This window comes from Homo sapiens, chromosome 20 (genome assembly GCF_000001405.40).
Source record: "Homo sapiens chromosome 20, GRCh38.p14 Primary Assembly".
NCBI classification, from domain to species: domain Eukaryota; kingdom Metazoa; phylum Chordata; class Mammalia; order Primates; family Hominidae; genus Homo; species Homo sapiens.
This window is the reverse complement of record NC_000020.11, coordinates 10,518,242-10,545,080: the sequence shown is the minus strand read 5'-3', so window position 1 is coordinate 10,545,080 and position 26,839 is coordinate 10,518,242. Positions and strand designations below refer to the sequence as shown.

Sequence of the window (26,839 nt, the reverse complement as noted above, 5' to 3'; positions counted from 1 at the left end):
CTGAAGCTGATTTGATGTGCAAATTCTTGGATCCTACTCAGACCTACTCAATCAGCAATTACAGAGAGGGGCCCAGGATCCGGTGTTTTAACAAGCCCTCCAGGTGATTCTGGCATATGCTGAAGTTTAAGAGCCCCTGCTACAGGCCCCCTTGTATCCTGGAAGAATACTCATAGCATTCTCTGTAGAATACAGGAACTTTTTTTGAGGTTACAATAGAAAGGAAGAAAAAAATACCTGATGAAGTTTCACCATGTAATACAACAGGAAATATATTCACCAGAATATATTTCAACTGTAAAACTCACAAGTAAAAAAATCACCATTTTATCATAAATACAAGAAAATAATTCCTTTAGTGTAAATTATGATTTTCTTTAAAAAGAAAAAAAAAGGCTGAGCATGGTGGCTCACGCCTGTAATCCCAGCACCTTGGAAGGCCAAGGCGGACAGATTGCTTGAGTCCAGGAGTTCGAGTCTAGCCTAGGCAACATGCCAGAACCCCATCTCTACTAAAAATACAAAAAATTAGCCAGGAATGGTGGTGCACGCCTGTAGTCCCAGCTACTCAGGAGGCTGAGGTGGGAGAATCATCTGAGCCTGGGAAGTCGAGGCTGCAGTGAGCCAAGATTGTGCCACTGCACTCCAGCCTTGGCAACTGGAGTGGACACCCTGTCACAAACAAACAAACATTCTCCAGAGGTGAATGTGATGTGTAGCCAGGGTGAGAGCTACAGATAAAACAGTGCCTTGCTGAGCATCTTCAAAATTCACCTCTGAATTAGGATGATAAAGATGATGAAAATCCAAAGGGAAAAAGAGATCTACCTGCTGGATGAAGGGAGAGCCTTAGGAAGAAACAGAAAGGAAAGGCCAGAAATGAAAAGAAAGGGGGCTGTAAACTCCAAACAGTTAAGGAACAGATATAACTGCATGTAAATCCTTTAATGAGTTAGATGACTGGGCTCAGAGGAATCCATCCCAGGGCACCAGAGCCTGGCTCGACCACTGGGATGAGGAGGAGCACAAGAGTTACCTGGAGGACCTAGAGAGACAGAAATGATGCTGCACTTTTCAAAAAGGAGAGAAAGATGGATTTTACAGCTATACATTTCATCCATAACAGACTACTAAGGGAGAGCCTGAAGAAAACCCCAATTATGAAAAACTAACCTCATTTTCTTCTTTGACAATATTCTTAGCTGCCATGACTGGTGAAGGCAGTTGACAAAGCACACGTGAACCTCAGCCAGGAATCAAATGAAGTTCCTCATGACATCCTTTTATTCACATTACTCCACTAAAACAGCTTCTGTCACGGTTACCAATGATCTGCATGTCACCAAGCCCAATGGTCAGTTCATGATCCTCATACTACTTTACCTCAGCACCATCTAACAAAGTGGTTCTTTCACTTCCTGCTTTCCTTGATTTCTTGGGACACCAGAAGTCAGCTTTGCTCGTTCTCCTCCCTCCTCACTGGACACACTTTCTCAGTCTCCTTTGCTGGCTTGTCCCATCACTTTGGCCTCTAAACACTAGAGAGTCCAGGGCTCAGTCCTTAGACCTCTCCTTGCCTCCATCTGCACTTTCATCAGTCTCAAGGTTTCAGACACTGGGCAGTTTACATGCTGAGAGCTCCTAGTCTTTTTGCTGTAGCCTAGACCTCCCTCTCGCCTCCAGAGGCATATATCCAATTGCCTACTGTGCATCTCCACTTGGGAGTCAAATAGACATCTACAACTTAACAGGTTCAAAACCAAACTATTAATGTTTACCCTCAAACATGGTAACTAATTGTAACTCCATTCTTCCAGTTCAGGTCAAAAACGTTGGAGTCATTTTTGATGCCTCTGTTTCTCCCATATTACACATCCAATCTATTAACAAACCCTAACAGTTCTACCTTCAAAAGGGCCTGGCACATGGTAGGAGCTCAATAAATATTAATGAAATGAATCTATGAACAAATGAGTCCTAGTGAATAAAACAACAGAAAAATAGAAGTGGATGAAATGACAGGTGGGTTCATAACCAGTTAAACAGCCATAACCACAGGACCCATTAATGGCCAAACAGCAACCTGGATGGGGATGGTGAACAACTTTTTCCTCGACCCTGGTCTTGGTCTGCATTTCCAGCACTGGAATGGATGAATATATAGGGGACATACCCACAAAATAGGTGGATGTCACTGCAAAGAAGGGGACAGTGCATATCTGGGGTAGCAAAAACTGGATCTGGGAAACAAAACAAAACTCTAAAACTGGACCTCTGTGATTCAGAGGGAATCTAACTAGAGAGAATTAAACTAGGATATATGTAAGGGTCATATAACATTTGGCTCCAAAAAACTAACAGCCCAAGTGGAGGCATTCTTAGTCAAGAGTAAGTGCTGTGAGCAGGCAGCAGAGTGCCATCGCTGTAAATGATGTTAATTTCATGTTAGGCTGCCTTAACAGCAGTGGCCGGGAAAAGTGACAGGATGAGGCTTTATGCATTTAGTGCTCAATTACTCTCAATATTGAAATTGAGACAAACTATCACGTACCCAAATAAGAGTGATCAGGATAACAGCAACACTTAAAATCATGTCATGAGCATCAGCTGAAGAAAGTAAAATGATTAATCTAAAAAAGAATAGCCAGGATAATATAATATTAACAGGGCTTTCAAAGGTGGAAGAATAATCCTTAGTTCTCTAGGGCCTTAAGGGATAGAGAACCAGATGAAGCAGAGAAACCATAAGGAGACAGGTACTGGCTCCACCTAAGGAAGACGATCAGACCAGCAGGACTTTTCAAACAGGAAGTGATCTGCCGCAGGGGGTGTGCACTGGCCACTCAACCCAGGGGAGAAAACTCTATTGACACAAAGCCCATTAAAATGGGCAACTGAATAAATATTGCACTGTTATCATAGGCCACTGGTCTCCCTGTGAGGAGTGATGAAAACTACACAGGAAAGGATTGACTGCTGGCTTGTTGCATTGGACTGATTTAGTTACTTCAACCATCCAATGCACCATTGGCTTCCTGGTTTTTTGTTTGTTTGTTTAGTTTACACCTAAAAATGTGGGCTTATAGACCCCAAAAATCTGAGTACTTGACCTTTTAGTGACTTTAACATGCAAAGCATGGGCTTTAGAGTCATACAGATACATATGTATGCAAACACTGGCTGCCCCCTTTACTGGCCACAGAGCCAGGGCCAAGTTTCTCAGCCTCTCTGAATCTTAATCCCTTTATCTGTACAATGGGACAATAATCCCTGCCCTCCCAGAGATGTTATGATTAAATTCAAAAAGAAAACAGACTGCAGTGTCCACAAACAGGAATTAACTAATTGAGAGTAGTTAACAAACATCATTCTCAGTCTCAGTATCTTATTTAACAAGGGTGACAAAATTGACCACTGCTGTCCAATAACATTCTGTGATGATGCACATGTTCTATATCTACAATGTCTAATACCTTAGCCTCAAGCCACATGTGGCTACTGAATATCTGAAATGAGGCTGGTGTGAATTTTAAATTTTATTTCTAATTAAATTGGTTAATAAGCAGTTAATTTATTAACTTAAACAGCTACATATAAACTAGTCACTGCCACATTGGACAGCCTAGACACTTCCTTAAAGTGACTCCTGGTTCAGAAATCCTGGTTCTATTATTTTAGTGAGAGACTAAAACCACAAAGGGCAAGCAACATTGGGAACCTCATAATAGGAAGTGCCCAGTGATGCAAGGGGAATCCCATCCTGCAGGGAATTCCAGAAGGCTCCTAAGGACCACATGTGAGGGAATGATAGGGACTAACCTGGGAAATTTCTTTGAACTTTACCAAAGAAGGTGCTGATCCAATAGAATTGTTTTATTTTAAAGGTGTTTTCCTTGTAAATAGAAAATGAAGCAATAAAAACTGTTACTGACAAGTAAAGGATTAAGAAGTTTGTTTCCCTTTACCTTTCACCCTCACTCAGCTTTATCAAATGAGAAAACAAAATTCAAAATTCATTCAATGCAAAATAATCCCTTAGTTTTGCTGAGAATGAACCTTAAACTTTAGCACTGAATTTCCCTCACTATTCTGCTCTGCTTCAGAACTCAGGAAACAATCCCATGACTGCTTTCATCACAGAGAATTTCTACAGAATGAGTAAGAGTTCAAAGGGAATCTTCAACCAATTCATGCCTAAGGCAGGAAATTGAAATGGGACAGAATATGTTAGACAAACACAGGCGAGGTCTGCTGGTGAGAGCCGAGTTTTTCTTCCTCTGACCCATTTTTAGAGAACTACAAAGAGGAATAAAGGGAGGTCGTTAATTGGTCACAGGACTTGTGTAGAGCCACCTCTACTTTCCTTTTCTAGTTGACTGCTGGGAATAACACCCTCTTCAAGGAATGCTCAAAGGGGAAACGTGCTGGGACAGGAGACCACTGATGAAATGGCTTCAGAAGCCGAAGATCATTAATTAAGAATATTTAGAGTGAGGTTGAAAGCTTGGCTGAAAAGAGTGGGAGGGACAAGTCTGTATCAGCTGCTACCTACACATTAGCAATTAAGCCTTATAAAGGCTCTCAGTGGAAAGTTACATTTCCCAGGTATCCTCCTCGGATAAGTGAAGAGCCTCCTGAGCCAAATGAACACTGAAGACCATAGCATTGACTTCAGAGTAATACTGCCAGCATCCACTATTACACACCCTTGATTCTCAGGATTCGATGTCTTCAAAACACCACTACCCATTGCCTGACACAGTGTTTCTCAAACTTGGGCGAGCATCAGATTCACCAGGACGGCTTGTTAAAAACACACATTGATTAGCTTTGTGCTCGGCTAGGTATTAAAAAAACAAAAAGAAGAAAGAAAGAGAAAGAAAGAAAGAGAGGGAGGGAGGGAAGGAAGGAAGGAAGGAGAGAAGGAAGGAAGGAAAGAAGGAAGGAAGGAAGGAAGGAAGGAAGGAAGGAAGGAAGGAAGGAAAGGAAGGAAGGAGAGAAAAGAAAGAAAAGAAAGAAAACAAAAAGAAACACAAATTGCTAAAGCTCAGCCCCATGGTGAGACTTAAACCTGGGGTGAGGCTGAGAATGTGCGTTACTAACAGACTCCCAGGTGATGCTGATGCTGCTGGTCTAGAGACCACACTTTGAGATTCACTGGCCTAGAAGAGTGGTTTGCAACCCTGGCAGCACCTCAGAATCACTTGGGGAGCTTTTAAAATAATAACTATGTCCAAATTCTACGCCAATGAAATCAAATCAGACTCTCGGGGTGGGGCCTGGGTATCAGTATATTTTAAAAGCTCCCTACCCGATTCTAATGTGCTGGCTGGGTTGAGACCCACTGCTGAGATGATTACCTTCAACTATTTAAATTTGGAGACTACATATACTCTGAACAGTTTAATAATTATTCCTTGTTTTAAGTAAATTCCATAACTTTCACACTCATAAAATGAAAAAGAGAAGCAGAAAACTACCTTGTTTTTCCTTACACATTAGAGATAGGGAGGCAGATCCTGGTGTCTGCTTGATTCCACCTGCCCTTACTGGTGATGGTCACTTTCTTCTTTTTTTTTTTTAACAAACCAAAATATAATGAGCTTCTTTGCACCTGCAAATGTCACCCTCCACTCCAATTCTGCTATTTAGACAGGATTCCCTACAGATTTACTAATTAGAGCAACTCACGCTTTGTGAACACTGATAAATCTTCTAATCCCTTTAAAATATGGTAGGTAAAAAGTGATACATTTTCATGACAATCCTACAACTATTTGAGGAGCAGGTAATATTTCCAAAACACTCAAATTCTTCTAATGTTTCTTCCTTCAGTCTCTTTTCTATCCTCCTTGAATGCCTTTTTTTCTTTCTAAATCAGATTCTACTTTTCCTTCATCTATCATCTGCCTGCCTGTACCCTTCCTTCATCACCTCTGCCTTAATGTGACAAGTGTAAACTTTACAATTAGTTATTCTTATGAAATAAAGTTTTATGGTGCCTGTTCCTAATTTAACAAACAAGGGAACTGAGTATTTTTATTTGGTGAGATAAAAAGACACTAAATTATTTTTGGTATGTGCCTCTTGATTAACTCTGCCTTGGGCATTAGTCCTCAACAGGAAACTTATTCCCCACCCTTAATTCCTTAAATTAAGAAACCTTCAGGCTGCAATCCACTGTGTGCCATGAATCAGCACCTATTGGTGAAATGTGACAATACAGTTTACCTCAAAATAATACAGCCAAAGAAGGTCTGGTGCGGTGGCTCACACCTGTAATTCCAGCACTTTGGGAGGCCATGGCAGGTGGATCACTTGAGGTCAGGAGTTCGAGACCAGCCTGGCCAACATGATGAAACCACATCTCTATTAAAAATACAAAAAATTAGCAGGGCATGGTGACATGCACATGTAGTCCCAGCTACTCAGGAGCCTGAGGCAGGAGAATCGCTTGAACCCAGGAGGCAGAGGTTGCAGTGAGCCAAGATGGCACCACTGCACTCCAGCCTGGGCGACAGAGTGAGACTCTGTCTCAAAAAAAAAAAAAAGATGAAGGGCTTTATCAATAAGAATCTAGAACTGTAATTTTAGATTCTTAATCAAGAGGTGATTTTGCTCCCTTCCTCCCTGTGTACAATGTCTGGAAACATTTAGGACTGTCACAGCTGGCATCTAATGGGTAGACTCCAGGAATACTGCTGAACACCCTATACTGCACAGGCCAGCTCCCACCGCAAGGCATCATCTGGTCTATAATGTCATTAGTGCCAAAGTAGAGAAACCTTGTCTAAAACCTTCTGCATGGAGCCAGCTGACTTAGCCCTGGAGAATTTGTAGGGATCAAAGGCCAAGAGGAGGAAGAAAAAGAGGTACAAATGGCCCTGGGTCAAAGAGGTACTACAAAATGCTCAGCCAAAGAGTGTGGATGCTGCTCATCCTCCCAGCTGCCCGGAACAACAAAGAAAGGGTCCTCTTAGTCTTTACCTTGCCAGAAGTTGTCAATGACTGCTTTCTTCATGGGATTAGGGTTTAATTTGGTCACAGAAAGAATTCTATTCCATGATTCATCACCTGGCCAGCTGACAAACTACCCCAGCTCTATAAAGCATTCTTATATCACTGTTAGCTTTTAACAGGGCCTAAATCAATGAAAGAAGGGATGGAGGCAGGGAGAAAGGAATTAAAAAATAAATTCAGGAATTGTGAACAGACAACATCTAAAAAATAGGCTATCTCATTACTTTTGTCAAAATCTAAATGATCATGTTGTCCTTTCTCTTGAGAGACCTTGTTACCTAACCATTTTTATTTTGGGTAATTTGCATGGGGCATTTGCATAAGGGTAAAACTTAAAGATTCTTCTCATGTATTATTAATGTCATAAGGAGATCATGATATTAGATGTATTTCTTGTTGCTATTCAATTCCTAGAAAAATTACATGAATCAACTGAACTGTAAATATCAAACTGATCCAGCATAAAAAGATCAACATCATGTCTTTAGATCCTAATAATCCAAACGAGTATGGTAGCTAGCTTTTATCTGTGATACTCTTCGGGCCAAACTGCAACCTAATGGATTACTTAAGAATCTAAATTTTAAAAAGAGTTATAGTAAGGAAGTACATGCCTCACGAAACAGTGTTTCCTTTGTAAGTATTCATTACGGGTTCCATTAAACACAAAGCCCACTTAGTTGACTGGAGTATTTACCTTCTTCCCAGTTGGGGAGGGAAAGAGAGGTGCCAACCAAAGATTGGTCACAAAAAATTAAGCACTGGGTAGGGCAACAAGGACTGCCCTTAAAGTAGTTCCTGCATAAACTGCCATAGTAGCCCCATATTTTCATTGCCCCCTCCCAACACAGTGCGTTATTTCAGCATATTCTCAAGTTTTACCATGTAACATAAACTCATCTCTAAATTATAAATTGTGTAAATATGTCACCAAGAAATGCTAAAATGCTGCTATTGAATATGAATTGTTTATCCCAGGCCTCTAATGTTCTATGCCCTAAGCTTCAGAGATATTAGATACTAAAATTTGATTAAAACCATATTCCTTGCATTTGCTGCCATTATCAATGATGCAAATTCACACATGTGTTAGCTAATGAAGCAGCCAGACAGGGTTTCACAGGCAGAGAAAAGGCTGAAAGAAATCTTTTTTGCCAAACAGAAAGTGGCCCAACTGTGGGAAATGATATGGATACCCAAGGTAGTCCTCAAAGCCAAAACTGTAAATAAGATTAGACCCTCACATGGTTCCATGGTCTGAGTATACATTACAACATTTTAAACCAAACATTCATTTCATTGTAGGGATTTATGCCAGCTGGCATAGCACAGTTGACCAAAGTGAAAATCGAGCTTGAGTTTTCCTTCCTTGTAAAACTCAGTACGTTTGTAGCATTAGCCCCTTACCAGAAGAGGGCAACGGTGGCCAGGCTGGCATTATTCACAAAGAATAAAGTTACCTGCAGCCAAGGTAACGTTTGCCAAGGGAGCCAGACCTTAGGAAACTGCCTGCAGAACTGCTGGCTTCTGAGTGTCACACATGCAAAGAAACAAGGCTCTCTGCCTTTCCTTTTCCTTGGATGAACTAACAGGCGACTGAGAGATCAAACCGTTGCAATATTTCTAATTGATGATACAGAAGCACTGCTCACTGCAACCAACTCACCATATTTATTTAATCCTTTTTTTTTTTTTTAAAGAGACAAGGTCTTGCTGTGTTGTTCAGGCTGTCCTCAAATTCCTGGGCTCAAGCGATCCTCCTGCCTCAGCCTCCCAAAATGCTGCCATTACAGGCATAGGCCATCAGCGCCCAGCCCTATTCACCACATTTTAAAGTTATCCTCTCTCCTGTCCATACTAGCTATAAAACTTGTCACATTCCAAAAAACAAGAAGGTGTGTTAAAGATCTCTAAGTGGAGAACTATTATGTAAATAGTATATAAGAAGTTTGCAAATTATAGATACCGTAAGAGCCATTCTACATTCAGGTTCAAGTTCACCCACAGTGCCCTGACTTTTCGGACTCCCTTGGTGGAGTCTCCGGCGCTCATTTCTGCTTTTCTCCCTCACTAGTGTTTCCAGGCTCATCTTTCTAAACAGTGTGTCTCTAGCTCAGGGTCTTCAGGCTTTCTCAAAACAAAGCATTCTCCAAAATCCTTACCCCTTTGAAAGCATTTGATCTGCTATGCAAATTTACTCAATATTTGCTTTTTAAACACATTCATCTCTAGTGAAGGAAAGAACTTGTTTTTAGTTAATAAAATTCAGGCATATGTGAGTAGTGAACACCTGGGTGAAGGGGTGAGGATGGAGCATGAATGTGCATGCAACACAGGTAGTTCCATTATTCTCTCCTGGTTTGGGAATTCATGAGACTAAGGATGAAACCTCTTAAGTTCATACCTTGACTCTTACCCTAGACAAAACTACATGTTCTTGGGCCGGGCGCAGTAGCTCATGCCTGTAATCCCAGTACTTTGGGAGGCCGAGGAGGTGGATCACCTGAGCTCAGGAGTTCGAGATCAGCCTGGCCAACACGGCGAAACCCCATCTCTACTAAAAATACAAAAATTAGCTGGGCATGGTGGCACGCACCTGTAATCCCAGCTACTTGGAAGGCTGAGGCAGGAGAACTGCTTGAACCCAGGAGGCGGAGGTTTCAGTGAGCCAAAATCACACCACTACACTCCAGCTTGGGCAACAGAGCAAGACTCTGCCTCAAAAAAACAAACAAAACCTGCACGTTCTTTCCAAACCTGCTCCCTCCTCCTGTTTTGACTCAGCCAGTGGCACTAGGACTTATCCAATTCTGAGACCTCAACACTTCCCTTCCTCAGCAGCCATTTGCAATTCATCACTTCTAACCCCTTCCATGCCTCCAGGCCAAGCCATCACCTGCTCCAGCCTGGCCTTCTGCAACCGTCTTCCCTGGTCTCTCTCCTGCAACAACTCACTTTCAATCTATTACCAGTCTGTTGCCAGAGCGATCATGCCATGCCCTGCCTCCACACCCCAAACCTCATCCCAGCTAAAAACCTTTGGAGGGGCCTTCCACTCCTCTCAGAATAAAGACTAAAATCCTAGGAAGCTGGTAAGAGGTTGACCATATCCCGGTACACCCAAGTCAGTTGCATTTTACGCCTTTCTATCCAGGCGTAATTATTAATAGCTCCCCCTTCTGCTCTAAAAATTATCTTGATTTTCATAACAACCTATGTGGTCTCCTTTCATGGTAACCTATGTGGTCTCCTACAAGTACATGATAACCTACAAGCCTCTGTGAGGTCTGGCCCCTGCCAGCTTCTCCAGCACCATGCCAACCCACTGTCCCCTGTGCTCTGCTCCAGCCCTGCTGGCCTCTGTTCATGCACTCGTTTTTAATTTATTGAGCATACCCCAGACGCCAGCCCTGCGCCAGGAGCTGAACACGGAGCAGGACAAAGCAGAAAGGACCTTGGCTCTGCTGGAAGGAGCTCCCCATTCCTTCTTCTACCCCACCTTCCCCTAGGCTCAGGCTTGACTCGAGGCTCCTTCTTTACGGAAACCTTCTAAGGCTCCAGACCAGGGCAACTCACCCTTTATCTTGCAGGCAGCATCATGTACCTCTTTTTGAAACAATGATTCAAGATTGCAATTTTTCCTGCTTCTGTGTGATTGATCTGACTGCCAGCTTCCTCCAAGAGACAATAAGGTCTGCAATTTAGTTATTGATGATTGACACCCTAATGCTTACCAATGCCTAGCCCACAGAAGGTGCTCAATAAGTATATTGCAGAAAGAAAGGAAGGAGGCAGGGAATACATGCTCACTCCCCGACTCAGGGCCAACACTCCTTCCTGGGTCCCAGTGCAGTTCTAATGGTGCCCAGGGCCTTACAAATCCTCTCATAACCTTGGCTTCTGCCCTGTTTACCCCTACCCACAAGGCACAAAGTTGGTTCAAGGGGGCTCTGGCAGAAGTGACCCACCACCCTCACCCTGCCTCGGCTGAGACAAAACTCTGTGCTCCACATGCAGACTCTCCCTCCCAGCAAAAGGCTGGAGGAAGATCTGGGAACTCATAACCAAAGGAAAAAGGGAGGGCAATGTGAAAATCAGACAACACAAAATTAATGGTGAAAATTTTTTAAAAATAAGAGATGGCTAGGTGCAGTGGCTCATACCTATAATCCTAGCACTTTGGGAGGCTGAGGCAGGAGGACCACTTGAAGCCAGGAGTTCAAGACCAGCCTGGGTAACATGACAAAGCCCCATCTCTACCAAAAATACAAAAATTAGTCAGGCAGTGTGGCATGTGCCTATAGTCCCAGCTACTCTGGAGGCTGAGGTGGGAGGATGGCTTGAGCTCGGGAGGTGGAGCTTGCAGTGAGCTAAAATCATGCCATTGCATTTCAGCCTGGGTGACAGAGCCAGACCCTGCCTCAAAAAAAAAAAAAAAAAAAAGGCCAAGAATGGTGGCTCACACCTGTAATCCCAGCACTTTGGGAGGCTGAGGCAGGCGGATCACCTGCGGTCAGGAGTTTGAGACCAGCCTCACCAACATGGTAAAACCCCGCCTCTACTAAAAATTCAAAAATTATGTATTTTTGTACATAAAGGTGTGGTGGCACATGCCTGTAATCCCAGCTACTTGAGAGGCTGATGCAGGAGAATCACTTGAGCCCGAGGAGGTGGAGGTTACAGTGAGCCAAGATCATGCCACTGCACTGCAGCCTGGGCGACAGAGCAAGACTCTGTTTCAAGAACAACAACAAAAAAGAGATGTTTCATATAAGATGATCAGACCATCGAGAAGACATGAGTTGCAAATTTTCATGCACTGAACAACCTTCTTCCCACCAGAGTGATTTACCTTAAACTTCTTTTCATTTCAAAGTGGATCTCTGTTTTATTTGCACAAATACAAGGCTCATTCATATGAGAGTTTTCCCAAGAGGTTTTGAAATACTGAAGTTTCTCCTTCTTGACACAAAAATATTGCTTGTGGGCCAGGCGTGGTGGCTCACCCCTGCAATCCCAGCACTTCGGGAGGCCAAGGCAGGCAAATCACGAGGTCAGGAGTTTGAGACCAGCTTAGCCAACATGGTGAAACCCCATCTGTACTAAAAATAAAAATAATTAGCTGGGCATAGTGGCAGACATCTGTAATCTCAGTTACTTGGGAGGCTGAGGCAGGAGAATTGCTTGAACCCGGGAGGCAGAGGTTACAGTGAGCCGAGATCACGCTACTGCACTCCAGCCCGGGTGACAGAGTGAGACTCTATTTCAAAAAAAAAAAAAAATTGCTTGTGGCTTATAAAAGTCCATTTTTTTCTTCAGCTTTTCTATTCAGTATGAATTAAAATCTCATAGTCCAAATTTCAGCTTGGGGATATGCACCCATCTTGGAGAGGGGCACTAAAAGAATACGAACCCCTATTTAAGACACTGGTTATTTTCACTACAATATGTCACCAGGGGGCCTCAGGTGAAGTGAGGACTAGAGATGGGTTGTGTTTTTATGAAATCGTCCACATGACAACACCCTGCTGCATGTGGCTGCACTATGTCCCAATCAAGGGTAAGCCAACAGGAAAGGGTACTACAATCAGGTCCTTCCCATCAGGAGGGATCTTTCCCTCCTTCATGTCACCTTCCCAGACAGAGGGCCCTTTGATGCACCAACCTAGTGAGGGTGCGGATACTAATTTCTTTTAATTGACAAATAATTGTGTATATTTATGGGGCACAATGTGATGTTGTATGTATACACTGTGGAATGATTCCAAGCCAATGAACATATCCATCCCCTCCCATACTTATGATTTCTTGGTGGTGACATCAATCTTTTGATTAGTTCTTTTGAATTCAATAAATTAAATACAGATGAAAGTTCTTATATTTTCCCATACCACCGTGGATCATTTAACCTCTGCCCCCATCTTGGCACATGTACACAACTATGGAGACCACTCCAGTCAATGACGAGATAGCTGATGACTCAGATGAGGCCCACAGTGAAAAAGGCAAATTCCTGCTGGCAGTTGCAAACCAATGTCAGGGATGTGATGTCAGAAACTTACGCTGGAGTTATAGGAGATGAAGCAGGGCATGTGTAGTGATGGAGAATAAAAGCTATAAAGAAATGAAAACTATCCTGAGAATCCAACAGCATACATGTGCAGGGAAAAGACTGTAAAACTTGCTCCTCTGATACACCATGTTTGCTTCTGTCTCAAAGGCTTGGTACCTGCTGTTCTCTCTGCTAGAACCACTTCCTCCAGACGCTAGGAGGTGTCTCTCTCTTTTCACTCAGAGTTCACCTTGAAAGTTCAAGTCTCTCTGACCATCCTATTTAAGCAGGAACCACCTCCAGTCACTAGCCACCAAGTTACCATCTTTTATTTTCTTTGTCACACGTCTCGGTATCTGAAATTGTCTTGTTTCTTTCTTTGTGCAGTGTCTGTCTAACCCCTGACTGAAATGCCATCTCCATGAGACCAAGGACTTTGTCGGTCTTATTCAAAATTGGGTCCCCACAGCTGAGAACCATTCCTGGCACATGGGAAATAAGGAATAAACATTTATTGAACAGGTACAATTTTTAAAAACAGCAAAGAGAAACACAAGAGTCATAGAAGACTGAGCTCACTTCTTTCAGGCCATGTCAGATCAAGGAGGCAAAGACAAATAAGACCATAGAGGACATATAATAGATAATGTTGGTCCACAAGATATACCTCAAACCCTATGCAATGAAAGCAGAGAATATACCATGTTTCCAATCATTCATGAAACTGTATCTGTCCATCTACATTTTTAATCTCCCAAATGAACTTCCCTGTCAAGTCACGGCAGGTAGGAGGTGGGGTGAGGGTCTGATCCCACAGCAAGACTTAACAGCTGAGATGGGTGGGGAGAAGTGGGCATGTGATGATCCCAGAAGAGGAGTCAATGCTGCAAGCCTGGCAGCGGCCTGGTATCTGTCTACTAGGCCCATCCATCTTCATGTCACATTGCTCAGTGGACTATCCATGTGCAGTCTAAACTGGGAGATATGATATAACCTAGTTAGCACAGGAATAAATCTAAATATGTTTGTAAAGCTGAGGACTTCACAAAAATATGCTCCTTACACCACTGTGGTACTCTCTGTAAGAAATATCTCATGTATATAATATGATAAAGTGTGTTAATCAGGGTTCAGCATTTATGCTTTTTTTGTAGAATCCAGCTACGAAGTTGGTTTTTTGGAAGAGTCTTGGTAATTTTTTTTTTCTACCTTAGAGTCACTTTAAAATCCCTTTTTAAAGATTTGTTTCAATAGCAAAATTAATTTTCTTTTTATAATCAAATCAATTTTTAAAGCAAGATGGAAAAAGGCTTACAGCCTCTATACTAAAGCCTATGCTCATGCCATAAATAATTTATAGCAAGATGGTTGCTTCTCAGTGGCAGGCTCAAATTCCCATTTTAATCAAAACTGATTTTGCAATCTATTTCTCAATTTACGTGTGGTCAGGGAGCTTCTCACCAAGTGAGCACGCAGACTCCATGGAAATGTGCACTTTTCCCAAACTCCTAACAAATCGGGACATCGTTAACCACTGGTAATCATTTTCTTCTACCCTCTGATGCTCTTAACTTCATCAAAGGTTAACGTCATGGCAGTAGCTTCAGAGGGAACTCAAAAGCTGAAAGCCGCAAAACACCAATGGAACTATATTCACTGATATTTCCAAATGTGTAAACAGACCTCACAAAGAAAAAGCTCAAAGATTCACTGGATTATCTAAACGTACAAACTCATACCAGAAACACAAAGAATAACCAACAAATGAAAGGACCAGCCAGTGTATTACTGTGCTTCAAATCTCCAACCAGTACGTCTGAGACTGCACCGCCTTACTCTGGGGCAGGCAGCACAGGCAAGCCTTCTTACACGATTGTTTCCCAAAACAGTCTAAATTCCCTTAAACAGTAGGTAGGCAGAGTGTCAGCCTGTTCACAATATGGATTCCCAAAACTTTTGGGAACCACCATTCTCTGTGTCTGAGTGCTGGCTCGGCAGTTGAGACTTCAACAGAGAGAACTAGAATCTTCACGCTGCCAACCCTGCTGGTCTGCTCCCAACTTTTGCTCCATAGATGGAACCTCTGTAGACTGCATATGGTCTTGGACTTCTTCATTAGCAGAGAAATGAAACTATTTCCAAACTGAGGGCAGAGATTCAAAATGCTTCCCAAACTCATGAAATTCTCCTGGCACTGAGAACTCTGTTCATTTTGGCTTGAGGTGGTTTATATTCAGGTGGACTAGAATTGAACATTTTCTATGATAGCAATTATGGGAGAGGGTCCTTGAACCTTCAATGATTTTGGTGTTCCTCCTTTCTTAGAGATATGGAATTCTAACAAAAGTAGGATTTAAAAAAAAAGAAGAAGAAGAATGTGAGTAATCAGAATCATTTTTTTTTTTTTTTTTTTTTTTTGAGATGGAGTCTCACACGGTCACCCAGACTGGAGTGCAGTGGTACAATATCGGCTCACTGCAACCTCTACCTCCTGGGTTCAAGCAATTCTCCTGCCTCAGCCTTCCAAGTAGCTGAGATTACAGGCACCTGCCACCATGCCCAGCTAATTTTTTTGTATTTTTAGTAGAGATGCGGTTTCACCCTGTTGGCCAGGCTAATTTCAGACTCCTGACCTCAAGTGATCCACCCGCCTCGGCCTCCCAAAGTGCTAGGATTACAGGGGTGAGCCACCGCGCCTGGTCCAGAATCACTTTTAAAATGCCATTTATTTTATCTTGTTTTATCATTAGCCACAAGGCTAATGAACGTAAGATTACATTATAAAAATTAAATGTCTCATGTTAGCATGACAGGAAAATCAATCTACTTACTCCTCCTAAAAACAGGACTTTTAAATAAGTTAAAGCAGTAAGCAAAATCTGAATCTACTTTTTAGTCTTTAGACATCATCCTAAATTTATTATTATAAAAAATAGAGAATATGGAAAGCAAACAGAAACAGAAACCCATCTGAACAATTCACTGACGTATCACTACCTTTCTTTCCTTGTACAGATTAAAATAATAGACAAATATTGTCATGTGTTTAAGTCACGTGCATAAAGGAAAGCTCAGGGAATATCAACTTTGAGCTAGGCTGTGTTTGGTTACATAGTTTGTGGGTATCTGAAATGTCTGCATCTATGTTCAGAAGAAAAATCCCGAATTACAAAAACATCTAATGTGACAACACAGGTATGTTGAGCCCAGGGAAATATGACCAGTGGGGCAAACACTGGCCAGCCACTCTGGTTGGGTGTGGATCTTCACATGGGTATCAAAGATTTTCTCTTCTGAGTCTTCAGGCTGGGGCTGACAAGTCTAGGCCCTCCTCTGTTGGCCTGGTACATAAGGAGACAGGTCTGGGGTTTACTCCAAAGAGCTAGTCTGATATAATGACAACACATTCCTAGGAATTTTTTTTAAAAAGAAAAGAAAAGAAAATTCCAAGAATATGGCAAGGCCAGTGAAGCTTAACTTCCACAAGCCTTTTTACTCCTAAGTAAAATTATTTTCTTCTTCATAAGTGTTAGTTGTTGCTTTTGTTATTACTCATGAGTATCAGATAAAGGAAAGGGAAAATGGGCAGGAGGATGAAAGACTGTGAAAGGTGCAAATCCCATTTGAATGATTCAGCCTTACCAGGAAAATTAATTACATTTCAAAAATGATGATATTTATCAAACTAATGTTTGATAAATGGACCCACAGAAGGTCCATTTAAGCATTGTTTTTTCCTATTGCTTTGATGCTTTCTTGTTTTCATATAATTTCAAATTTCAGAAAAGTTGCAAGAATAGCGCAAAGTTAGAAAACTTTTGAATTAAATTCTAGGAGCTTAAAACCATTTTTTAATTAACTGCAAAAGTTAAAAATAAAACAAACTACTCTTACCTGACAAATGGTTACACAACAGCCATAATGATCAATTACTTAGGAAAGGTGGAACCACCAGGCCTGTCAACATTTTTTTAAAAAATTGAAACACGCAAGACAGAGGATGACATTTGTGACCCGCTCCCAGGAGTGCACAGATAAGACAGGCTGGGGGTTATGTGTAATTACAGAGGCACCAGCTGTCCCTCTGCACATTTCTTTCCCAAATGAAAAAGCAGGATGGAATGCAAATGAAAAGGAGTAATTATATTAATGAATAATCTTAAATGTGCGTCAATCTTTTTTTGGAAAGAAATCACTGACAAACTTAGGTACTATATTAGCAATCACAATTTATCCAAAACATACTGCACTGTGAAGAAACCATGGATTAGAACCTCTAACAGAGATGATAATTTTGGATTCCAAATTATTCTTCCTTATTAGATGAATCCAAGAGAGCTTTGTAAGAATACCCCAGAGAAATAATTTTGAGTGTAGTCAAGTACCCTGAAACAAATGAAAGCAATAAAACATCTCTAAAGGCTGAAGACTACCTTCCATTTCCCTTATACCTTATAAAAACATCTTCCTTGGGGACAGGATGGAGTAAATTTTTACAGAAAGAAGTAAAGGGGCTCATATTGAATACACTGAGAGGATTCTGTAGAGAGTTTAATCTTTGTATCATAAAGCCACTTTGCATCCAAAAGCCTGCTTGAAACACCTCTAGTTGGTAAATCATGAAACATGCCTTCTGACTAGTCCCCTCTGCACCTTCCACATGTGTCTAACCTTCCTGCCAGAGTTGTTCTTCGTATTTTTAACTCCTTATTTCTATGGCTATTCAAGGATGTATTTAAATAATAAGTTAGGACCCTCATGGGCGAGCTGGCTTTTCTGGCAGAACTGTGAGCTCTTTGAGGGGCAGTATTTTGTTTTTATAGCTTTTATAGAGCCAGCGCCTAGCATAGGGCCTAGTTTATGGCATGTTTATCTGTTAAGTGAACAAATGAACCAGCAAAATACTGATGGTATGTGATCATTACAGCCAGAAGATGATATATCTTTTGATTATCAACATACAACACATATCTCAATGGGTACCTTGCTTTGGTTGCACCTGTGAATAGCCAATGCATTCCCATCTGGGTAACAGAAGGAGATCCTGTCTCTCTCTTTTTTGGGATGGGGTCTCTGTCACTCAGGCTGGAATGCAGTGGTGCGATCTTGGCTCACTGCAACCTCTGCCTCCCAGCCTCAAGCAGTCCTCCCATCTCAGCCTCCCAAGTAGATGGGACCACAGACACATGCCACAAAACCCAGCTAATTTTTTGTATTTTTGGTAGAGACAAGATTTTACCATATTGCCCAGGCTGGTCTCAAATTCCTGAGTTCAAGTGATCCACCCACCTCAGCCTCCCAAAGTGCTGGGATTACAGGCATGAGCCACCGTGCCCAGCCTGAGACCCTGTCTCTTAAAGAGAGAGAGAGAGGGGAGAGAATAGATTTCTGTTGTTTTAAACCACTTGGTTTGTGGCAATTTGTTATGTCATCCATAGGAAACAAATACAGAAGCCTACTAAAAACACAGCAGTTCAAAAACAATTTGATGGAGAAAACACCTGAGTGGCAATCTTGAGGACATATTTCAGACAAATACCAGCACGTGTCAGAAACACTACTAAATTTTACTTGTTAATGAATTATATTCTAGCTCATCCCAAAAAGGATCATGACAGCTGACAAACCCAAACCCAATGATTCTCATACACCTGCCTAAAAACTGACTTTTCATGCTTTGATAAACCAAAGTTGAGCAAGAGCTAAATTATAATTGAGAAAGAGCATGATTTCCAGAGTGGGAACCATTCTCTTTCTCAACTATAATTTTATCACCTCAATAGACATCTAGATTGATGACTAGGCTTTTACCAAGTAGAATATTGGGGAAGAACCCTGAAGTCTATGGGAAGAGTGTGAACAAATGCAGAGGCGTGAAAGTGCAATGTGATGTGCGCATGAAGGAAGGAGGGTATGATGGGGGAAGGTGAGACCGGAAATGCAGGCTAGAACAAAGAGATCAGCTGACAGGCCAGTGATGAGCAGGGAGAGGACTCCATGGAGAAGTGGGGCCCTTCTGCTGCTCAGCTCCAAGAATGCCGGCAGCAAGGCATTTATCAGGAGACCCCCAAGTCCTTACCCCATATCCACATTCCTTCTCAGAAAGTTACTAGAATTGTGTTCCACCGAAAAAGGAATAAGTCAAGACAGTGGAAGGTGTGAGAAAAGGAGAATCTAACACAGAAGAGAGGTGAAGGTAAACAGAAAATGACGTCTGTGCGCTGAGCCTTGAATGCAGTTGGTCCAGAAAGCAACAGAATGACATCTCCAGGAAGACACGAAGAAATGTGCTGGTCCATTACCTGATGGGTTTGATTGTGGGAAAATATTTCTTGGAAGGACTTTATAATTCATTTGAATAATTCTGGAGGAAAATAGTGATAGAAACAAAGAAAACCATTAACACCCCCTAATCCGCCAAAAAAGAGGCAACTCTAAATTCCAGGAAAAACAAACCATTATAACAATGAGAAAATGTATTCATGGTATATAGTTCGGCTAAGCGGTAAAAATACTTATATAATTATAATAATATAAACATTAAATACAGATTTAACTCAACATTGTAATACAACTATGGAAGGGAAAGAGGGGAAGCTTCTATGTGAGCAGATGGAAAGCAAGAGGTATGAGTGCTAAATTTCCGTGTAGAGAAAGGTCAATATATAACATCAAAATTGGCAAATCAAATTACTGTATAAACAGGTAAAAAGAGGTGTCTTCTGGAGTACAGGATTTGGAAATAGGAAGAACTGAAGGCAGGGGTCTGCTACTTTTTCTTAAAATCCTTGTGGTACTGCTATTTCATGTTTTAAATGATATACACATAAAAATGATGAAAATACTAATTATAAAGAAACCACATTTAAAATAAAAGAAAAAGATAAGCTGGATCAGATTGTAAAGATTTTATTTTATTTCTATCTTTCTATTTTTAATAATGTGCTAGGAACTTTTTTCTCTATCAAACAGGATAAGCACATACAGGACCACTGGCTCCAAAGGGGAGGATAGGTGCAGAGGGGAGAAGCTGAAGACAATGATACTAGTTAAGTGGCTGTTACGTAACCTTAGCAACAGGAGATGACAACCTGAACCAAGACAATGGCAGTAGAAATGACGAGGAGAAATGTCCGAGGAACAAGCAAGTATGACTGAGCAGGAGATCAGAATTCTGGATGTACTGAGCTTCAGATGTGAGCAAGCATGAATCATTACCTCATTTTCGAGACCTGTCAACTGAGGCTTTGAAAAGATAAGATCAAATGGCAGGTAACTGGCAGAGCCCAGTCCTCCTTCTTGACACTGTGCTGACTTCTGTACATACAACACTCAGCTAATACTTTTGTAGCTCCACTACCATCCTGTATCCCCACAGGTCAAATAAAAACTTGAAAGCAACTCACAAAAATATTAATTATTTTAAACATCAAAGACATTTTTACGAATATAGCAAACTGAATTTCCAATTAAACCTCTTCTTTATGACTATTTTCTCATCACTGCTGAGTGGGCTCCTGGGAGCCCTGTGTGTTTCTGACTTCATCCCAGGCCTGGCCATAGCTGACGGAACAATCATTTCATGTTTCTCGGCAACGTGGAACTAAGGCAGGGCGGGTGGTCAAGAGTGTCTCCCTGCATGGCTATGCCTGTTATGTGTAAACCTGGGCACTGTGGAACAAAAACAGAGCCTGAGAAGAGTCCAGCTGATTCCCAAAGAGCAGCAGCTGAGAGGAACGCTGCCAAGGGTCCTCCTTTCCTGGAGTTTTGCGAGCCATCCCTGTAACTGTGTAATCAATCCCAAACGGACACAGCCAGTCCACTTTACAAACCCCATGAGGCCTGCAGCTCTCTTCCATCACAAAGCACTGGGGCTGGCCCAGGCCTGCTGCCGTCACCAGGCCTTTCCACATTCTCTACGCCTCCCAGTGCAGAGTCTTAGGGTCATGAGCCCGCTGGTCCCCCAGCCAGCCAGGAAGGCTCTTACGTTCGACCAGCCAGCCCTGCCCTTGCAGGTCCCTGTCAGACAGGAACAACAACAAAATGGCCAAACATCACTGCCTCCTCCTACCAATTCATTTTTTAAAAATGATACTTCACCTACTGTCTCACATCCTTAAAAAAATGAATTTAATAGACTCAAATAAGAATTTGGTTGCAGCTAAGTGATAATGTGACTTTTTGTTTATATAGTGAGACAACTCTTAAAAAAAGATTTTTTAGTCTGCTCATAATTTTAAAGCTTAATATGAGCTTCTCACCTAATACCTCCTCCAGCAGACAGTTCTGACGTATCATCTCCTGCAATAAATTATTCATTCATTCATTAAATCAGCACTGGGTGTTTGGTGCCGGGCACCGTGCCAGGCCCCGTGGAGGATGGTGTGAATAAGCAGTCCTGGTCCCTGTCTTCTATGGTGCTTACAGTCTCATTTTAGAAAGTCATTAGTGTTTAATGCAACATTTACAAAGGTGAAGGATCTGTTACTTTATCTTATAATTAATCTTCTTCCATATAATCATATGTCTGTAGATATGAAGAAATAAACACAAAGGCGTTTGACTATGTCTATATACAGAGGTCAATTGAAAGAAGGAAGACAATTTAGGCAATTTAATAATTATCATGAAAACCAGTTAAGTGTGATTTGGATGAATTCAACTCCTCCTCCCCCCTGCAAACTGGCTTATGTGTCCTTTTATCATTAGAAACAAATTTCATATAAACTTCCACCAGGAGGAGAAAGCTATAAGCCTGTCTCTCTGACTGTCACAGTATCTCGTGGTATAGCATCCCTTTCAGGTGGAAACCAGCTTGAGATCCTTCTGGCCAGAGAGATAGTCCCCACCTGCTCTATAAACTTACCCACTGGCCCATCCCATGCCAAGAGGTCTGCTACAGAGGAACAATTTGATCTCTGTTTGCACTTAGGATTCACATATGCATGCAGGCAGGTCAAGCAAAGGCAGGGAAGAATAGTGGGCCGGGAGACTTAGAGGCTAAATGGCAAGGAGAAACTGCAGGATGATCAGGGCTTAGAGAGAACTTAACACAGTAGGGAAGAGGGTTGTGCACCCAGTGAGGTGGATGTGATATGCTTTCTGTCCTACCAAATTCTTATTCACAGAAGGCCCAAGCAACCCTGTGGTGGGACCCCCTTCCTCAGCAACAGGCTGTGCCATGGGGTAGGAGAGATGGTCTCTATGGTTTCTGCAGCTGGGCTCTTGTGGCATCGATGGATGAACAGATTCAATGGCGGGGAAGAACAAGGAGGGTTCTCTGTGAGAAACAGGACCAGTAGCAGCCAGCTGGGCTGATATGTAAGCGCATGAGATGACCTCCCTCCCCAGGACTGAGTGACGGAAGGGCATTTTAATGAGGGTAAGGCACTTGGCTAAGAATGCAACAGGTCAACAAAATCCAGGTTTTAGTTGCATGCACTGTCACTGGTACCCGCAGGCCCAGGAGACCGGGAGCCATGTGTCTCCTTCCCTCCTAAATGCTTCTCTTTGCTCCCTGCTGGGCTGCTTGGCAGGAAGGAAAAAGGGTCAGCCAGCTCTCACCAACAGAGCACCTCCACCCTACGGGTTTGTATACTTTTTCCGCGTATCATTGTACTTTAAGAAAACGTTGCATAGCTTTAAAAAGGCAGAGGGGAAGAGGATTGAAAACACTGATTTCTGTCACTGAGAGTGTTAGGAGGGCTTTAATAAGTCTTTACAAAAAGAGCTAAGATCCCCCCAAAAAAGGCAACATTAAGAGAAAACTAATAATGTCATTGCATTAACTGCAACACAACGTGCATTTTCTATTGAGAGCAGAAGATCAAAACAGACATTTTCCAGTTATATCTTACTAATAATTATCTCTAATGCTTGCATGTCACAACACATGCAAATCTCTTCAAATCTCTTGAAGGGGGGTGAAAGGGAGTGAGGAAGAGAGGCCAGTCACTTTAGAGTGCCATAATAAAGTGATGTCTCTATGTGATGCTGACTAATGTAGGGCCTTCTGTAATCAAATTAAATGACACATACTTCAGATCTCTACTAATTATGGATTGATTTTTTAAAAGTCATTTCCCCACCTGTCCCCTTAGCTAACTGGCACTTCTTATGGCTCACAGTGTGCCCATCTCTGCACTCCCTCTGCTCCTAAATTTAAACACTTTCAGATTATCCGTTGTGCCTTAGAAAGCCAAAAAGCCAAGCACTTTAGAATTGTATGTAAAAGAGAAGCAGCCTCTGAAGGAAGAGAGATGTGGTGAGGAAGGAGCTGGGGCCTCCATGGGCATATTTGGGGATGTAGCACCACTTCTGGCCTTCTTGGTTTCCTGGTGACTTGGTTCCTAGCATTTTAGTCCTCATGAATAATATTGCCACTCAGAGTAAGACAGCTGCTTTTGACTCAGCATTTTAATTGAATTTAATTCATTTTCAGTAGCCTTGAGCAGGAAAAGAAAATACTAATTAGCTCAAGGATATTAGCTAAGGGACCTCACTAGCCTGGGCATCAGGTTCCTTGACTGTATGTAAAGGATCTCCTACAGAAAAATCCACACTAAGCTAGGAGGCACAGGAACCCACGTAGAGAGAAGAGAGGTGATGGGAGCTCCTAAAAGAAGAGCAATATGAAGCCTCAGGAAGACAGCAGTCATGGAGAGCGACCAGCCTAGAATGAATGGAACAAGAGAGAGGAGTCCAGGAAGGATGACTCACAGAACAAAAACACAGACACACAATGAGAAAAGACAGAAGAGAAAGATGATCTGCCATGGAGAGAAGTGGACTGGCAGGCACTTTTAAGAGCTGCGGGAGAGTAAGACAGATCAGCAAGGCTGCTGAAGAGAGCAAGCAAATGAAAACAAAAGAGGTGTGGGAATTAAAGAGAAACGAAAGGTAATCAGAGTACACTGCCTGGCTCTGCAGTAAATACTGTCATAATAATATATCATCATAATAATGAAAACACAATAGGAATTTCTATAAAAATGTGTCAAAATTAAATATACTGTTTTAAATAATCCTCCAGAACTGCCATATAAGGATGCTATTTATAAGTATGAAGGTGAAAACCAGAAGAAACAGCCAAAAGAGTCTATAGAGTGCTCACTTCTGGGGAGTGGGAACAGAGGATAGAGAGGAGTGGAAGAGGGAACTATTATTTTTGTTTCAAAGTCTATAATGTGATTCCAACAATTAAAGGGAGAAAGAATTTTAAGGGGAAAGAAAAGAAAACATATGTTCATACAGATGGTGTTGGGACAACTGAATAACCACATGCAAAAGAATTAAAGCTGGGCTCATTCTTCAAACCATACACAGAAATTAACTCAAAATGAATCACAGACCTAAATTTAAGAATGAAAACTCTAAAACTCTTAGAAGAAAACATAAGTGTGAACTTTCATAATCTTGGTAAGGCAATGATTTCCTAGATATGATACAAAAACAAGTGACAAAAAGAAAAAAACTAGATAAATTGGGCTTATCAAATTAAAAACACTTGTGCTTCAAAGCACACCAGCAAGAAAGTAAAGAGACAATTCACAGAATGGGAGAAAATGCTTTCAAATCATATACCTGATCAGAATATATAATGAACACTTACAATTCAACAATAAAAAGATAAATAACCCAATTGAAAAATGGGCACAAGGGCCGGGCGCAGTGGCTCACGCCTGAAATCCCAGTACTTTGGGAGGCTGAGGCGGGCGGATCACGAGGTCAGGAGATCAAGACCATCCTGGCTAACACGGTGAAACCCCATCTCTACTAAAAATACAAAAAATTAGCCGGGCATGGTGGCGGGCGCCTGTAGTCCCAGCTACTCAGGAGGCTGAGGCAGGAGAATCGCTTGAACCCAAGAGGCGGAGGTAGCAGTGAGCTGAGATGCACCACTGCACTCCAGCCTGGCCAACGGTGAGACTCTATCTCAAAAATAAAAAAAAGAAAAGAAAAAAGAAAAATGGGCACAAGATTTCAATAGACATTTCTCTAGAAAATAAATAGTCAATAAGCACATGAAAAGATGCTCAATATCATTAGCCATCAAGGAAATGCAAATTAAAACCACAACTGAGACACAACTTCATACCACTAGGATAGCTGTAAACAAGAAGACAGACGATAGCAAGTGTTGGCCAGGATGTGGAACCATCATACGTGGCTGGTAGGAATGTAAAATGGTATAGTCACTTTGAAAACAGTTTGGCAGTTCCCCAAAAAGTTAAACACAGAGTCACCATACGACTTAGCAATTCCACTTCCAGGTATATACCCAAGATAAATGAAAGCATGTAAGAATATACAAAAACTTTTACACAAACATGCATAGCAACATTAGTCATAACAGTCCAAAAGTAGAAACAATCCAAATGTCCCTCAACTGATAAATGGATAAGCAAAAGGTGATGTATCCACACAATGGAATATTATTCAATCATAGAAAGAAATAAAGTACTGACACATACTACAACATGGTTGAACCTTGAAAACATTTTGCTAAGTGAAAGAAGCCAGTCACAAAACACCACGTGTTGTATAACTCCATTTATATGATATGTCCATAACAAGCAATTTTTTATAAAGACAAAAAGTAAATAAACAGTTGCCAAGGGGTAGGAGTGGGCACAGAGATGAGGAGAATGACTGCTGACGAGTATGGGGTTTCTTTTTGGGGGGGTGATGAAATGGTATAAAATTAGATCACAGTAATGGCTGCACAACTCTGTGAAGATACTAAAAACTACTGAATTATATACTTAACATGGAGGAATCTTATGGTATATGAATTATGCCTCCATAAAGCTGTTTTTAAAAGTCGATAAGGCAATGATTACACAGATGTAAATATTTGTCAAAACGTATCCAACTTTTGCAAAGACTATGACAGTGAAAAGAAAAACATTCAACTGTACATTTACATGGGTGTATTTTATTATATGTAAATCACACCTCAATAAAGCACATTTTTCATAAAGCATCTCCAATGCAATAATTTTACAATTAATTTATAACAATGTTACTTTCAGAACACCAGGCAGGAAAGAATATCAAACTCATGACTACCTTTCTGTGGCCAGCATTACTCACCTGTGTTAGGCAAACATTTTCTGCCTTCCTTAGAAAAGCCCCTAGGTCAGGAATGGTAGCTCACACCTGTAATCCCAGCACTTTGGGAGGCCAAAGTGGGTGTATCACTTGAACTCAGGAGTTCGAGACTAGCCTGAGTTACATAGCCAAACCCCGTCTCTACAAAAAATACAAAAATATTAGCCAGATGTGGTGACTCCCACCCATGGTCCCAGCTACACAGGAGGCTGAGGTGGCAGGATCACTTGAGCCCTGGAGGTCGCAGTGAGCTGAGATCGCAGCGCTGCAGCAGCCTGGGTGATAGAGTGAGACCCTGTCTAAAAAAAGAAAAAAAGAAAGAAAGAAAAGAAAGAAAGAAGGAAAGGAAGGAAGGAAGGAAGGAAGGAAGGAAGGAAGGAAGGAAGGAAGGAAGGAAGGAAGGAAAAGGAAAGGAAAGGAAAAGAAAGGAAAGGAAGGAAGGAAGGAAGGAAGGAAGAAGGAGGGAGGGAGGGAAGGAAGGAAGGAAGGAAAGAAAGAAAGAAAGGAAGAAGGAAAGAAAGAGAGAGAGAAAGAAAGAAAGAGAGAAAGAAAGAAAAGACTGGTCTCTAGTGCTGGGTGGAGAATGGTCATCCAGAGCGTCAAGACTCAGTTTCCAGCAGGAAAGCAACAATGTCCGTTTAATCAATGTGTTCT

The 26,839-nt window shown here is 41.7% G+C and overlaps 1 protein-coding gene across 1 annotated transcript in view, besides 3 other annotated features; it reads right to left on the bottom strand.

Annotated features, from left to right (window-relative positions):
* Positions 1–26,839, bottom strand: part of SLX4IP (SLX4 interacting protein) — a 192,726-nt gene that overhangs the window by 82,950 nt on the left and 82,937 nt on the right. The gene's annotated exons all lie outside the window — the stretch shown is intronic.
* Positions 16,946–17,240: a silencer, noted in NCBI's record as "tiled region #5326; HepG2 Repressive non-DNase unmatched - State 16:ElonW". NCBI's record gives its function as "represses a minimal TATA promoter and a strong SV40 promoter by Sharpr-MPRA in HepG2 cells {active_cell/tissue: HepG2}" and the evidence as "EXISTENCE:reporter gene assay evidence [ECO:0000049][PMID:27701403]".
* Positions 20,846–21,140: a silencer, noted in NCBI's record as "tiled region #8388; K562 Repressive non-DNase unmatched - State 23:Low". NCBI's record gives its function as "represses a minimal TATA promoter and a strong SV40 promoter by Sharpr-MPRA in K562 cells {active_cell/tissue: K562}" and the evidence as "EXISTENCE:reporter gene assay evidence [ECO:0000049][PMID:27701403]".
* Positions 20,846–21,140: an enhancer, noted in NCBI's record as "tiled region #8388; HepG2 Activating non-DNase unmatched - State 15:Elon". NCBI's record gives its function as "activates a minimal TATA promoter and a strong SV40 promoter by Sharpr-MPRA in HepG2 cells {active_cell/tissue: HepG2}" and the evidence as "EXISTENCE:reporter gene assay evidence [ECO:0000049][PMID:27701403]".